The sequence below is a fragment of the Homo sapiens genome, chromosome 16 (genome assembly GCF_000001405.40).
Source record: "Homo sapiens chromosome 16, GRCh38.p14 Primary Assembly".
In the NCBI taxonomy this organism is placed as follows: Eukaryota; Metazoa; Chordata; class Mammalia; order Primates; family Hominidae; genus Homo; species Homo sapiens.
In genome coordinates, this window is record NC_000016.10 from 13,893,048 (window position 1) to 13,907,701 (window position 14,654).

The following is a 14,654-nucleotide window of genomic DNA, read 5'->3' on the forward strand; positions in this document are numbered from 1 at the left end:
AAGATGGCCAATGGAAGCCTGCACCATTCGCCCTTCCCATACCCCCACGAGAACACCAAATTTTAAAAACTAACCACAAACAAAAAGCACCATCACAAGAATCAAAAATCAGGTGAGTCATCACAGTACCTGGTTTTAACTTCGGATTATGTGGGGCCAGGAATCAAAGGGTGGAAGTGGGTTTGGCTCCTCTCACTATGACATCCAATGACCCACTTGGGAGGATTTTTTTTTGCTTCCCATCCTGGCAACTTTAAGCTCTGCTGCTTTGGAGATCTTAGTCCTAAAGGGGGAAATGCTTGCACCAGGGGACACAAGAATGATTCCATTGAATTAGAAGATGAAATTACCACCCAAACATTTTTGACTTCCATGGAGGCCAAAGCAGTTCCACCTTGGATGCTAATTAACCATGTTAACTTCTGATTAATTGCAGTTCCCAAAAGGCCTCTAAGATTTCCAGTTTATCTCTTGTTCCTTATGTAACAGCATGCGGTTACTATAAATTCTAGCCTTAGGTCAAAAAACCTTGATGCTCTCATACCTCAGTTGTCCTGCCTGTCCCTTCTGAACCACCCTTTCCCTATGGTACAGAAGCCCTGCGTCTGGGGCAGTAACGGCGCAGGGATCCACCATCTTGTGTCGCCACTGCCCAAGACACAGACATGGCTTCTTTTCATAAGTCCCTATTAAATGTTTCTTTCTAAGAAACTGAATTGTTAAGCCTTTTCCTTCAGCCTTTCAGCTCCCTCAGACTTTGGGGGCGGGTTTACATAGACCTGCCCATCACGGACCAAATTCTTATGCTACTGAATTAATGAGCATGCACCTCTACTGGCTGGGGAGTAGCCAGGATGCACCTCTACTGGCTAGGGAGATTGAAACCAGTCATTAGGAGGAAATAGGGTTGCTATGACACCATAAGAGCAAGAAGGCTTGTGTCTGGACCAGAGGTCTCTGGAGTCCCTCTCAGTACTTCCATGGAAAGCTACAATCACCACACACACACACAAAAAGACAGGATCATTGAGAAGCCCAATCCTTCAGGAATGAAAGCTTGGATTTCACTGCTGGGTAATGAACCCTTCCAGCTGAGGTCTTGGCTGAGAACAAACATAGCACAGGCCAGGTGTAGAAGAAACTCATAATATCAACTGCATACTTGTGACCAGTTATAGAAGCAAGGATTGTAGCAACTGTGAATAACTTCTTTTCTCAAGGAGTGTGTGTGTGTGTGTGTGTGTGCGTGTGTACTAAGTGTGCTAATTTTTTCCCCCAATATCTTACACAAGTCTTGGTAGTAGCAGTTAAATTTACAGTTTAGTCACCAAGCGTTAGAATATTCTGCTGAGACAATGACTGATTTGGGAAGGTAATCAGCTTACGATGACTATTGAGACTTTCAGTCTTCTTACTGTGGGCAGAGGGTGAGAGTGTCTTCACTTGAATGAAAGATAGCTGTATATTGTTAGGTGGAAGGCTAGAGTTGTGATCTTGGCTGAAATTCAGATATGCATAGAAGAGTGTGGATGAAGACTGAGTAGCTAATGAGTGGATTGTGCCAGTTTTTGAACTATTTCAGCTTCAAACCCACACATCCATGCTCCACTTGGTGATGCACCCGTATTTGCCCTTCACAGCTGCTCCCATGAGACTCTACACTGAGAAAATCAGGAGGCTGGAAAAGGAAGTTTTTTCTTATGGTTACTTCCTATTCTCTCATCACTGTCACCCACAGCAATGCTCTTTTGCCTCAGCAGTGATAGTTTATTCCAGAAACAGCAGTTGATCACAATTTGCAGTGTTTTCAATACCCATGGGACCAGCCTAATTGAACCCTCTCAACGTCACCAAAACCAGCATCAAATTATTCCTTCCTTGGAGGTCTGAAGTTTCTACTCTGTGGGGCCTCTTCTCCAAACTTTTAAGTTTTAATAATTCCAATCTTTTCTCTTTGTTCTTTCTGCCCTAGAGATAGCTTCCTGCAGTATATTCCTTCATGATATCTTACTGTTTTCTTATTTCTTTTCAGGGCTTCAATATGTCACTGTCACTTCCTATATCCAATAAGGAGTCAGTAAACTTTTTCTGTAAAGGGGCAGATAGTAAATATTTAGGACCTGCAGGTCACACAGTCTCTCTGTTGCAACTACTCTGCTCTGCCATTTTAGCACAGAATCAACCATAAACAGTGCTTAAATGTAGGGTTGTAGCTACGTTCCCATAAAACTTCATTTACAAAAAAATAGGCCATGGACTAGATTTGGCCTACCTCTATTAAATTATTCATGTTAAAATAACCGGTATGGTATTCTGTCTCCTGACTGAATCCTGACCGACACAGTGGACATGAGTCTGAAAGCCTGGCCAATTAGATTGCCACATCCTAACGATGGATTCTGAGCCGGGTCCTGATCCCAAATTAGAACAATCAAGGCCAATAGAGACTTCAATGAGGGATAGTTGTTGCTGGTGCCTGAGAAAAGGTGTTCTTACCCACTATACTCAAAGCTAAACAGATAAGTTTTCATGGAGCTGCTAACAGTCATTCTGCCACCACGAGGGAATAGTCTATCTGAAAATAGAATCAATATATATAAAAGTTCAGTGAAGAGCACAAGACTTTGTTCTAATGAGATCACTGAACCCCTAGATCAAGCCATGCCTGAAGCCCATTGTTTATAAGAGCCAATAAATTACAATTTTAAGCATTTTGACTTCAATTTCTATTACTTGGAATTGAAGGAGTTCTAACTAATATAGAAGCACACAAATAGATATGAAAACACAGGGGACAAAATCTCTTAGATTACTATCATTTATGCTTTTAACAAATATACATGAAGTGCCTATGTTTGCCAGATACTCTGCAGAGATAAAAGGATCAGCCCTGCCCTCAGCAAATAATGGATCATTTTAGAAAAATGCCGCTCAAGCCTTCCAACATGTTGCATTTTTACAACAAGAAAATTAATCAAGTCCCTGATAACTCTGTGTTCCTGGCACACCAGCTCTAGACTGCCTGCCTCTGGACTTCTTTGTGTTTGTTTAGGCCACTTTGTAAACCGCTTAATTCGCTTAATTAAAATATATGTATGTATTTTTTAATCAAAGCTTGAACTTTTAGATACTCTATCCCTAAAGACTACAACTCTCAATCCATAAACTAGTGTTTCAGAAACCAAAGCTTTCTTATTTTCTATAACTCTGTTTAATTTCTATGTCAAGTCCCATTCCTACGGTCTGAAGGATTCAGGTGCTTCTCTGCCCCCTCGCATGGCTGTGATAAGGTTCTATTGGTTTTACATTGTCCCATTGCATCAAGGAGGATGAAGGGCACATGGTGTCTGGTCCATGATAACTGAGCCACTGAGCACACATGAACCTCATCCTGCTTCTGTCCCCTATCCTCTCCAGACCTTTGACAGGCACTGCTAGTGTCTCCAAGTATTCATCTCCCCTTCCTCCTTAGTAACACAACTCCATTACAAAATGGCTAAACTTCTCAGTCTCTGTTTCAGCTAGATAAGGCCATATGACTAAGTTCTGCCTAGTGACATTCAAATAAATATGTTACAGGTGACTTCTGAGGTAGATCTTTCAAAAGGAGTTGCTTGGGCTGGGAAAAGCTCCCTTTCAACCTTCGTGCTGAAAAGAATGCAGATGTGATGGCTGGTGCACTGGTAGCTGTATGGGACTATGAGGTGACCTTGATCTTCGAAGCCATAAAGTGAGGATGGAGATACAAAGAGCCAGAAGTCCCTGATAACTTTGTGTTCCTGGCACACCAGCTCTAGACTGCCTGCCTCTGGACTTCTTTGTGTTTGTTTAGGCCACTTCGTAAACTGCTTAAGCCACTATTTTATGAAACAGTAGTTTGTTACTTGCAGCCAAATGCAATTTCTGTTCCAAAATTTGCTAGCTCCCCCTGCTGGTTTGGTGTTAGCCCAGAAGCCTAGGCAGTTTTGCAAGGCCCCCTATTCTAAGTCTAGAGAAAAGACCTCTGTGCTCAAACCCTAGTCTCATCAATGGGTTTAGGATTTTGAAGAGGGAGGGAGGGAATGAATATGAGTTGGGGACTGCTGCAAACTAATAGCAAACTATTCCTCGGCTTCCTCTGAAAACATTAATACTTTTTTCTCTTTTAAAAAAAACCCAGCAACAATTTCCGCAGAATAATACTGCAAGGAGTTGTAAGTTTCCATCTAATAAACACTGCTAATGAGAAATTCATAATACATGAAAGTAACCCAGAAGGCCATGAAATCAGACACATTCGGAGGAATACCATAAACCTTGTTTTGAAGAAAAACAGTTGTCAAGTTGATCCTTGAAGTAAAGAAAATAATAAAGCAGGGGAACAGGGTGTAAGAACATTAAAATGGATTATCTTCCCCAAAATGGGATAATTAAATACGCTAACACACAGAGAATGCTGTCTCTGCCCTGAGGCCTGTGTGCATGATGACTTGTTCTTTGTTTTAGAAAACCTGTGATTGTTTGGGAGTGTTTTAAATGATTAAGAAGCAGAGATGTGTCCGATAGCAAATGAAGCAACAACAGCTTCATATTTTATTGTGAACTGGACATGACTTAGAGGTCAGACTGAGCTTCTAATCAAAACATGAAATAGGGAGAGAACTTGCAAATCATATTAATTATTAATACTGGAGTGCCTAAGGTTATGAATTCTTCAAGCATTTCAGAAAATCTGCAGGAATTTTTCAGATAACACTGGGACGCTGTATATTTTTATTTTATTCTCCCTCCTGTCCTTTTAAAGAAATATTTAATGTAGTCCCAGGGTCAAGATCTTCTAAAGGAAGTAAAATGAATTTGAGTTGTTACTTTATAAACTGCTGCAGGAAACAACAAATAATATAAGCAATTTGTTTTTAAGTAACTGACAATGGAATGGTAATTTCCTACCCGTGGCTTTACTCGATGCTGGGTCACTGAACACTGCTACACTGGCATCATGGTTAACTTTGACTATTCAAGGTCAATAAATGAGCACACTTCTTTAGTGAGACCCTATTTTCTATTCCCCTTCATGGCATAATTCTCAAATCAATGATTAAAAAACTCCAGATTTTGCTTTTATATATATCAGCTTTGTGGTAGCATTTTTAAAAGAAAAAAAAAGCAGAGAAGGAAGAAAAAAGTTTGAATCAGTGCTATAGGAATTTTCTCAAGAAGAAAGAAAAAAAAATTCTCTTTCCAAGGGGATGCATGAGGTTCTCTTCGCTTCGTCTGTCTCCTTTTTTAATAACTGCATCAGCTTGATGTCTAGGATAGGAAATCGTTAACATGTTTCAGATGAGGGCATTAAGACCAAAATACTCACATGAAGTCAGATGGGATGGAATGGGGTGAAAATCAGACTCTGCCAGGCTGCAAATGCCATGCCCTTTCCAGGCTCAGGGTAAGAAATGTCCTTTTACTACACTCCTTTGTGCCTGGTTCAGTAATGCTCAAAACATGGGAGAGAGGGAGGAATAAAAGGAAAGTCATTTCAGAGGTTAATTTCATTTTTACACTTCAGAAAGTGAAATGAGGAGATTTGACAAGTACCTAATTAATTTGATCTGGGTAAACAGCTCAAATGGATCTTTTTCATCTAAAAATAACTCCACTATGGGACTTGGCTTAATACAATCGTTCTCAAAATGTGGTCCCCAGACCAGAGTTAGCAGCAGCACCAGCACCTAGGAGAACTTGTTAGAAATGCAAATTCCACACTGGGCAGGGTGGCTCACGCCTGTAATCCCAACACATTGGGAGGCCAAGGTGGGTGGATCACTTGAGGTCAGGAGTTTGAGACTAGTCTGGCCAAAATTGTTGTAAAAATACAACAATTTTGTATTTTTAGTAGAGACTGTGAAACCCCACCTCTACTAAAAATACAAAAATTAGCTGGGCATGGTGGCAGGTGCTGTAGTCCCAGCCACTCCGGAGGCTGACGCATGAGAATTGCTTGATCTGGGAGGCAGAAGTTGCAGTGAGCCGATATCATGCCACTGCACTCCAGCCTGGGCAACAAAATGAGACTCCGTCTCAAAAAAAAAAAAAAAAAAAAAAAAAAAAAAAAAAAAAAAAAGAGAATAAAGCAGATCACAATGCTTGGATACATACAAGTTCTCCCATCACATTTTTATTCCCAGAGTCAGTTTGCTGTGCATCCCTACTCAAGGCGCTGCTATGGCCTGGGTTCACCCATTGATGTGCACCATTTTGTTAAAATAAATCATCTTATTTTATGCATTAAATGCAGCATGTGTGTTATTACCCTCACCTAAGTTTGCGTGGCCTCTCAAACGACCACCGAATCAGGTGGCACTGATCCTACAGCTGCTACCAAGATCCTGGCTGTGGGCCAGGAGTGCTGGCTCACGCCTCTAACCCCAGCACTTTGGGAGGCCAAGTCGGGCGGATCACTTGAGGCTAGGAGTTCGAGACCAGCCTGGGCAACATCGTGAAACCCTGTTTCTACTTAAAAAATATAAAAATTAGCCAGGCGTGGTGACGTGAGCGCCTGTAATCCCAGCTACTGTAGGCTGAGGCAGGTGAATCACTTGAACCCAGGAGGTGGAGGTTGCAGGGAGCCAAAATCACACCACTGCGCTACAGTCTGGATAACAAAGCGAGACGCTGTCTCAAAAAAAAAAAAAAAGATAAAAGATCCCGGCTGTGGCAGCGAGTGTTGTACCCTATTAGGGTAATGACAGCTTGCAGCTATCTTCAGAGCTACTATAAATGCCTCTTATTGATATTACTAGCTTAATGCTGAAGCTTAATTCCCTCTTAATAAAAACACTGCAGTTTTTCACATTAATTACAACAGTGAGTAATGGTTACTATTTGCCTATAAACATTCCACACTTTTAAATAACACAAGATGTCTCCACAACAGTTACGAATTACATTTATCAGCTAGTGACAAATCCCAAAAAGATAACAGTGGCTTCAACAAATTAGAGGTTTATTTTTCTCACATATGAAAGAAGTCCAGAAGTAGACAAGCCAAGGCTAGAGGTAGATGTATATCACAAAAATTAAGTTTCTGCAGTCTTTCTACTCTGCTATTCTTTCTCTTTTTTTTTCTTTTTCTTTTTTTTTTTTTTTTTTTGAGACAGAGTCTCGTTCTGTCACCCAGGCTGGAGTGCAGTGGCGTGATCTCGGTTCGCTGCAAGCTCCGCCTCCTGGGTTCACACCATTCTCCCGCCTCAGCCTCCCGAGTAGCTGGGACTACAGGCACCCCCCACCACGCCTGGCTAATTTTTTGTATTTTTAGTAGAGATGGGGTTTCACCCCGTTAGCCAGGATGGTCTCGATCTCCTGACCTCGTGATCCGCCCGCCTCAGCCTCCCAAAGTGCTGGGATTACAGGTGTAAGCCACCACTCCCAGCCTCTTTTTTTTTTTTTTTTTTTTTTTTTGAGATAGAGTCTCACTCCGTGGTCCTAGCTGGAGTGCAGTAGCATGATCTCAGCTAACTTCAACCTCCATCTCCTGGGGTCAAGTGATTCCCCTACCTCAGCCTCCCAAGTAGCTGGGATTCAAGTGATTCTCCTGCCTCAGCCTCCCGAGTAGCTGGGACTACAGGTGCATGCCACCACATGCAGCTAATTTTTTGTATTTTTTTTAGTAGAGACGAGGTTTCACCGTGTTAGCCAGGATTGTCTTGATCTCCTGACCTCGTGATCTGCCCACCTCGGCCTCCCAAAGTGCTGGGATTACAGGCGTGAGTCACTGTGCCCGGCTTAATTTTCATATTTTTAGTAGAGACAGGGTTTCATCATGTTGGCCAGGCTGGTCTCGAACTCCTGACCTCAGGTGATCCGCCCACCTCTGCCTCCCAAAGTGCCAGGATTACAGGGGTGAGCCACCATGCCCTGCCCTACTCTGCTATTCTTAAAATATGGCTTCCATCTTCAATGTTGTCTCATGGTCACAAAATAGATGCTGGAGCTCCAAATATCACATCCATATACCAGGAGGAAAAAAAGAGAATGAATAGAAGAGAAAAAGGGTGTGCCTCCCAGCTGATTTAGTTACTCATTGTTTTTTGATGCTATTAATGTTATTTCTATTTACCATCTAAAATTATCTCATGTATCATAGAAGATACATGCTGCATACTTTTTCCATAAGTAAGTGGGTGCATGATGATCACTCTTGAGTCTGCTCGGCTCTGAAACATTTATCTTCCCCTTATTGCACTGTCATTCATTCTCCCCAAGGCCACAACCACAATGTGTGCCGGTACTGTATTGTGACATTCTGTACTGAAGGGCTGGGTCAGCTGCAGAAGGAATACTCAATACAAGAAAGAAAAGTTTAAAGTCGTCACTGCTAAGGGTTTCCTCTGAGTTGCAAAAGGGAGTAATCTAATGACACGGACCAGCCAGGTGCAGTGGCTGACGCCTGTAATCCCAGCACTTTGGGAGGCCGAGGTGGGCAGTTCACTTGAGGTCAGGAGTTCGAGACCAACCTGGCCAGCATGGCGAAACCCCATGTCTACTAAAAATACAAAAATTAGCCGGGTGTGGTGGCGCACACCTGTAATCCCAGCTACTAAGAAGCCTGAGGCAGGAGAATCACTAGAACCCAGGAGGCAAAGGTTGCAGTGAGCCAAGATCGTGCCACTGCATTCCAGCCTGGGTGACAGAGTGAGACTCCATCTCAAAAATAGAAAAGAAAAGAAAGACATGGACCCATCACAAGTAGTAAAATCTTTCCTGTGCCATCTCCCTCCCCTTAATCTGCTTGTTCAATCTCAGCTCTGCAGCCCTCCCCAAAAACTCATTCTCCAAATCTCTTACAAATTTTTACGACCTCCCTGAGAAAAGGGCAATGAGATTCCTCATCTTCTTAAAGGGAAAGACCTCCCCTCCCTGGATACACCTCCCTCTCCCCAACTTGCAAAGCCCTAAGGCTGAGTCAGTTTGCAACTACTGAAGAGCTTGCTAGTCACCTACTAATTTTCACTTTCTCTCCCCTCTACTAAAAGAACCTCATTTCACGGAGTAGTGTTACCAGCTAAAGGAGTATTTCCTGGCCTCTTTAATCAATGGGGTTAATCAATGTTCTACACGCAAAAGTTGTTGGCTGGAGTTTCCAGGGAGTTTATTAAAAAGTCTGAGCCAACTAGGAGATATGCCTTTTTTCTTTCCCCTTTGCCTCCTACTTCCGGTCTGGAAAAACCAATGTGATTGCAGGAGCTCCAGCAGCCATACTGAGCTATGAGGCACTTTGAATATAAAAGCCTACCTTTTAGTGGAGAAAAAAAAATTATAAGGAGCCTAAGTCTTTGATGATCATGAAGCCACCCTACCAGCTGTTACCCATCTGTACAAGGAAAATGAACATCTATCTTATGTAAGCCACTCTTATTTTAGTTTTCTTTAATATGCAGCTGAATCTTATTATAATTGGTACAGTAATGCCTAGCTTAAAGATTTTATTCCAAATTCACAGACTCAGTTCTCAAACTTTGATGTGGATCAGAGTCACGTGGAGAGCTTGTTAAAATACAGATTGCTGCGTTCCATCCTCAGAGTTCCTGATTTGGTTGTGCTGAGGTGAAGGCTGAGAATCCACATTTCTGACACAGCCTATGGGTGCTGATGCTGATGTTGATGCTGATGTTCCGGGGACCACACTTTGAGAACCACTGTGCTAGCTCACTGCTAATATATTTGGATAATTTTCTTCTTAGAGACTATAAAGAAAACAAGCCACTGGGAACTGAGTCATTCTTTTTTTTCCTTTTGTAAGCCAAGAATTCCTTTCCCAGACATATTGAACTGTACCTTTTGCCTATTTCTTTTTCTTTTTTGGCAGTGTGCCCCTCCATGTCTGCCATTAGAAGAAACCTTGCTAAGTTGCTAACATGGACTTTTAGTCCTGGCAAAGATCCCTGTAGTTAATGTAAACCTACAATTTGTGAGCTCTTTATCTTTTCTATTTTCCCTTGATTTTTAATGCCAGGGTTTTCACAGACAATAGCTCGAAATTGTGTTGCGCAAAAGGGTTTTCTGTTTACAGCTTTAGGTTTTGCTGTTTTATTTTGCACTTGAAGATAGTGTCCTTTTTTGTCCTGTAACATATTATTTGATTCATTATCTCTCTAGCAGTTCAGTTCATCCCACTGTCAAACATGAATTTTTTTCTTTAGCATTCTTTCTAATCAGCCCATACACTTTCATCTTCTGGAGCCCCCAAAGCAATAGTAATGTCACTGGACAAATTCTTTTGCCACCCAGCATCTGTTTTACTGTATTTTAGAGAAAATATCCTGGTTTCTACTTAAAAATGACCTCCCCTCACTCAGCCCCAGTGGAACTTGCTACCCAGCCATGGCCAATCAGACCCCATCATCCCTTTGTTGGGGGCTAAATTAAGTCCCCCTCCAAAGTCACGTGTTGACTTCCTAACCACTGAGACGTCAATATGTGACTATATTTGGAGACTGGGTCTTTACATAGGTAATTAATTTTAAATGAGGTCGTTAGAGTGGGTTGTAAACTGATGACGAGTATCTTTATAAGAAGAAGAGATAAAGACACAGACATACACAGAGGGAGGACTATATGAAGACACAGGGAGAACACGGCCATCCATATGTAGAGGAGAGAACGCTCCGGAGAAATCAACCCTGCCTATACCTTTATCTCAGATGTCTAGCCTCCAGAATTGTCAGAAAACAAATTTCTCTTGCTTAGTTCACCTGGTCTGTGGTTGTTTGCTATGGCAGCCCCAGCAAACTAATAACACTCCTGGCCCTGGGGTTGGCAGAGTTTTTTCTGTAAAGGGTCAGACGATAAATAATTCAGACTTTGTGGGTCACATAGAGTATTAGTCCATTTTCACACTGCTATAAAGATACTACCGAGAGTGGATAATTTACAAACAAAGGAGGTTTAATTGACTCACAGTTCCGCCAGGCTGTAGAGGCCTCAGGAAACTTACAATCATGGCGGAAAGGGAAGCAGGCACATCTTACATGGTGGCAGGTGAGAGAGAAGAGAAAGTGAAGTGGAAAGACCCCCTTATAAAACCATCAGCTCTTGTAAGAACTTGCTCACTATCATGAGAACAGCATGGGGGAACCACTCCTATGATGCAATCACCTCCCTCCTTCTACCCGTGGGGACTACAGGCCCCTCCCTTGACACATGAAGATTACAATTCAAGATGAGATTTGGGTGGGAACACAGAGCCCAACATATCATATGATCTCTGTTACACCTGCTCACTTCTGCTACTGTAGTGGCAAAGAAACCATAGTCATTACTTTAAATAAATGGGTGTAGCCATGTTTCAATAAAACTTTATTAACAAAAATAGACAACCTGCCCATAGCCTGTGGTTTGCTGACTCCTGCCCTTATTGATTGGTACAAAACTGAGCATGTGACTCTGTCCTGGCCAATCAGCATGATTCTATTCCTCTACCCAGAATGATGCAATATGGGTAGCCAACTCAGGTAAGTCCAATTAGGGTGACTCTCAGAACTTGCACCAAACAAATGGGAAAAGGCATTCTCTTTCCAGTGAACTATAGTTATGAGAATGTGAGGCTGCAGCTGTTGCCTTCAGAATAAAACCCAAAGTCCTTTGCATGTCTCCAAGGCATCCCAAAATGCAGGCACATACCTGTGGGCGGCAAGCCACCCAGGCGCCGAGGCAAGAGACCGAGGACACGAGCTGTTCCAGTATAATAAAATGTAAAACAAAAATAGTTATACCAGATAAAGATCTTAGATATGATTATATATGAATATCATTACTCATTAGTTGGTAGCAATTACTCTTTATTCCAATATTAATCCTAGCTATATAATCATAACCTAGGAAAAACCAGGCCATACAGAGATAGGAGCTGAGGTGACACAGTGAGAAGTGACCAGAAGACAAGAGTGCGAGCCTTCTGTTATGCCCAGACAGGGCCACCAGAGGGCTCTTTGGTCTAGTGGTGACGCCAGCGTCAAGGAAGACTGCCCGTTGCCAGGCGGACCGTGGTCTAGCGGTAGTGAAAAGTGTCAAGAAACAACACCTGCTACTTAGCAGACCGGGAAAGGGAGGCTCCCTTTCCCTGGTGGAGTTTAGAGAAGACTCTGCTCCTCCACCTCTTGTGGAGGGCCTGACATTAGTCAGGCTTGCCCGCAGTTATCCGGAGGCCTAACCATCTCCCTGTGATGCTGTGCTTCAGTGGTCACGCTCCTAGTCCGCCTTCATGTTCCATCCTGTACACCTGGCTCTGCCTTCTAGATAGCAGTAGTCAATTAGTAAAAGTACTAAAAGTCTCTGATACGCAGAAATAATGGCATAAGCTGTCTTTCTCTCTGTCTCCTCTCCCTCTCTGCCTCGGCTGCCAGGCAGGGAAGGGCCCCTTGTCCAGTGGACACATGACCCACATGACCTTACCCATCATTGGAGATGATTCACACTCTTTACCCTGCCCCTTTCGCTTTGTATCCAATAAATAACAGCACAGCCAGACATTCAGGGCCACTACTGGTCTCTGCGCATTGGTGGTAGTGGTCCCCCGGGCCCAGCTGTCTTTTCTTTTATCTCTTTGTCTTGTGTCTTTATCTCTACACTCTCTCGTCGCCACACACGAGGAGAGACCCACAACCCTGTGGGGCTGGTCCCTACACATACCTGCCATCTTTCATCTTTTTTTTTTTTCACCAGAGAAAAGTGTTCAGCAGATGAACCACAAATGCCTTAAGAACAAATGAGTAGTAATCAACAATTTACTTTTAAAGATATCCAAATAAGTGGGCTTGGCTTCTTGCTTGGATCCAGTTAACTAGAGAACCGTCAATTTCGCTGTTTGAGCATAACCCAAAACAACATATTATGCTGTGTTTACCTAGCACTGTATATAACAGAAGTTTTAAAAGAATAACAAGACCCTGAGGAAAATGCGAGAGATAAGTCATTTATCCAGATTCTCTGAGAATGCCCAGAAAGAAAGCAGCTTTAAAGGCAATCTGGTCAGTAATAAAGGGCACTGGGGGATATCTGATTGTTTTCCATCCTAGTGTTATGAGATTTTAATTTAAATCATCAACAAAGAATTCAACCTAGCATCCCAGTAGGGGTCAAACGGAGGCAAATGCAAGATAATTTCAGTTTTTTAAAAAATTAAAAATTGAAAAGCAGGAATTGTTTTCTTTTCAGACTGATATTTATCAAAATCAGATGTTAAGTTTGCTCAAGTCAAACACATCTTGATGCTGCCGTTGGCTGGAGCAGACCAAGTGATGCTGCAGTAATAAGCAATGCAAAAATCTCGGGAGCTTTACATAGGTTTATTCCTTCCTCCCACAAAGACCTCTGTGAGTCTGGGCAGTTTTCTGGGGAAGCTGCCCTCCGTGCCATGGTTGCTTCCATCTGTGGCACCTCCATTTCAACAGATGCTTCACTATGGATGGAGGGAGAAAAAAAAGAAAACATCACAGAGACTCACATGCTGGCCCTTAAATGCTTCCACCTCTGAGTGACATAATGCTTGTACTCCCATCCTATTGGCCAGAATAGTCACATGGTTTTGTCAACTGCGGGGAGCTGGAAAATGTAGGCTTTTAGGTGGCCCGGAAGAGGGGGATGATGGGAAATAGTGACAACCACAATGGGATACCATCCATAGATGCCATCAGGAGGGATGAAAGGACAACATAATCCTTGCAAACCAGGGAGAAAAACGTAGAGAGGAATCAGGGATGCAAACAAGTGAAGGAGAGGAGGCTGAATTCAGCTGCTGCTCAGTTCAGTGGTTCCTCAAAAGGCACCCAGGTACCCAATGCCTGCTCATGATACTGTTCACTGCCCTGTGGTGCGAGGGGAAAATGAAACAGGAAGTGGTCATTAGAAAGCTAAGTTGACAGTATAGCCAGGCATGGCGGGGTATACCTCTAATCCCAGATACTCGGGAGGCTGCGGTGGGAAGATCATTTGAGGCCAGCAATTTGAGACCAGCCTGGACAACATAGTGAGATCCTGTAAGAAAGAAGAGAAAAAAAGGAAGGGAGAGAGAGAGAGAGAGGGAGAGAGAGAGAGAGAGAGAGAGAGAGAGAGAGAGAGAGAGAAAGAAAAAGAAAATAGATAGAGGTTGACATATTACCCTTTATTATTGTTAAGCTGAAAATAACAAATAACCTTCCTACATTTTTTTGGTATTAGAACGTCATTTCTTTTATGAAGTGATGATGATCATGGTTAGTAGTTGTTTATCTAATGTCCTACCTTGGCAAAATAAGAATTTGGCAGCCACCCATAGTTGTATCCATTGTTTTAAGTTACTGTCTCAGTCTATAAACTCAAATTCTGGGAGCCACTGACCTAGTTAATGGTTTTGCCTAGAGCTTGCTTTAATTGTATAAGGAAATTTACTTTTTTGAGCAGCCATGCAGTGATGCTCAGCATATTTCCTCATTCATTCCTTACAACAACGAGGAGGAAGGTATTATTATTCCACATTTACAGATAAGGCAACAGAGACTCAGAAGACACTGCTCCTGGTTATAATGTCTCCATTGTTCCACTTTTCAGTGGTTTCCTGTATGAAACTCGTGATTCTAAATGAACCTACTGATTTCCCATCCCAAACCTGTTCTCCAGCCTCCAGCTCATGTCCAACCCCT

General features: G+C 42.5%; 1 long non-coding RNA gene across 2 annotated transcripts in view; it reads right to left on the reverse strand.

Moving 5' to 3' along the window:
• LOC105371093 (uncharacterized) overlaps nt 1–14,654 on the reverse strand; it is a 43,766-nt gene that overhangs the window by 10,200 nt on the left and 18,912 nt on the right. Inside the window, exon 3 of one of the 2 annotated variants that reach the window (XR_007065000.1) lies at nt 5,348–5,473. This is a non-coding gene — a long non-coding RNA (uncharacterized LOC105371093). Of the gene's footprint in view, nt 1–5,347; nt 5,474–12,719; nt 13,436–14,654 lie in introns of those variants that run through there. The other variant, XR_007064999.1, reaches the window with a different exon arrangement.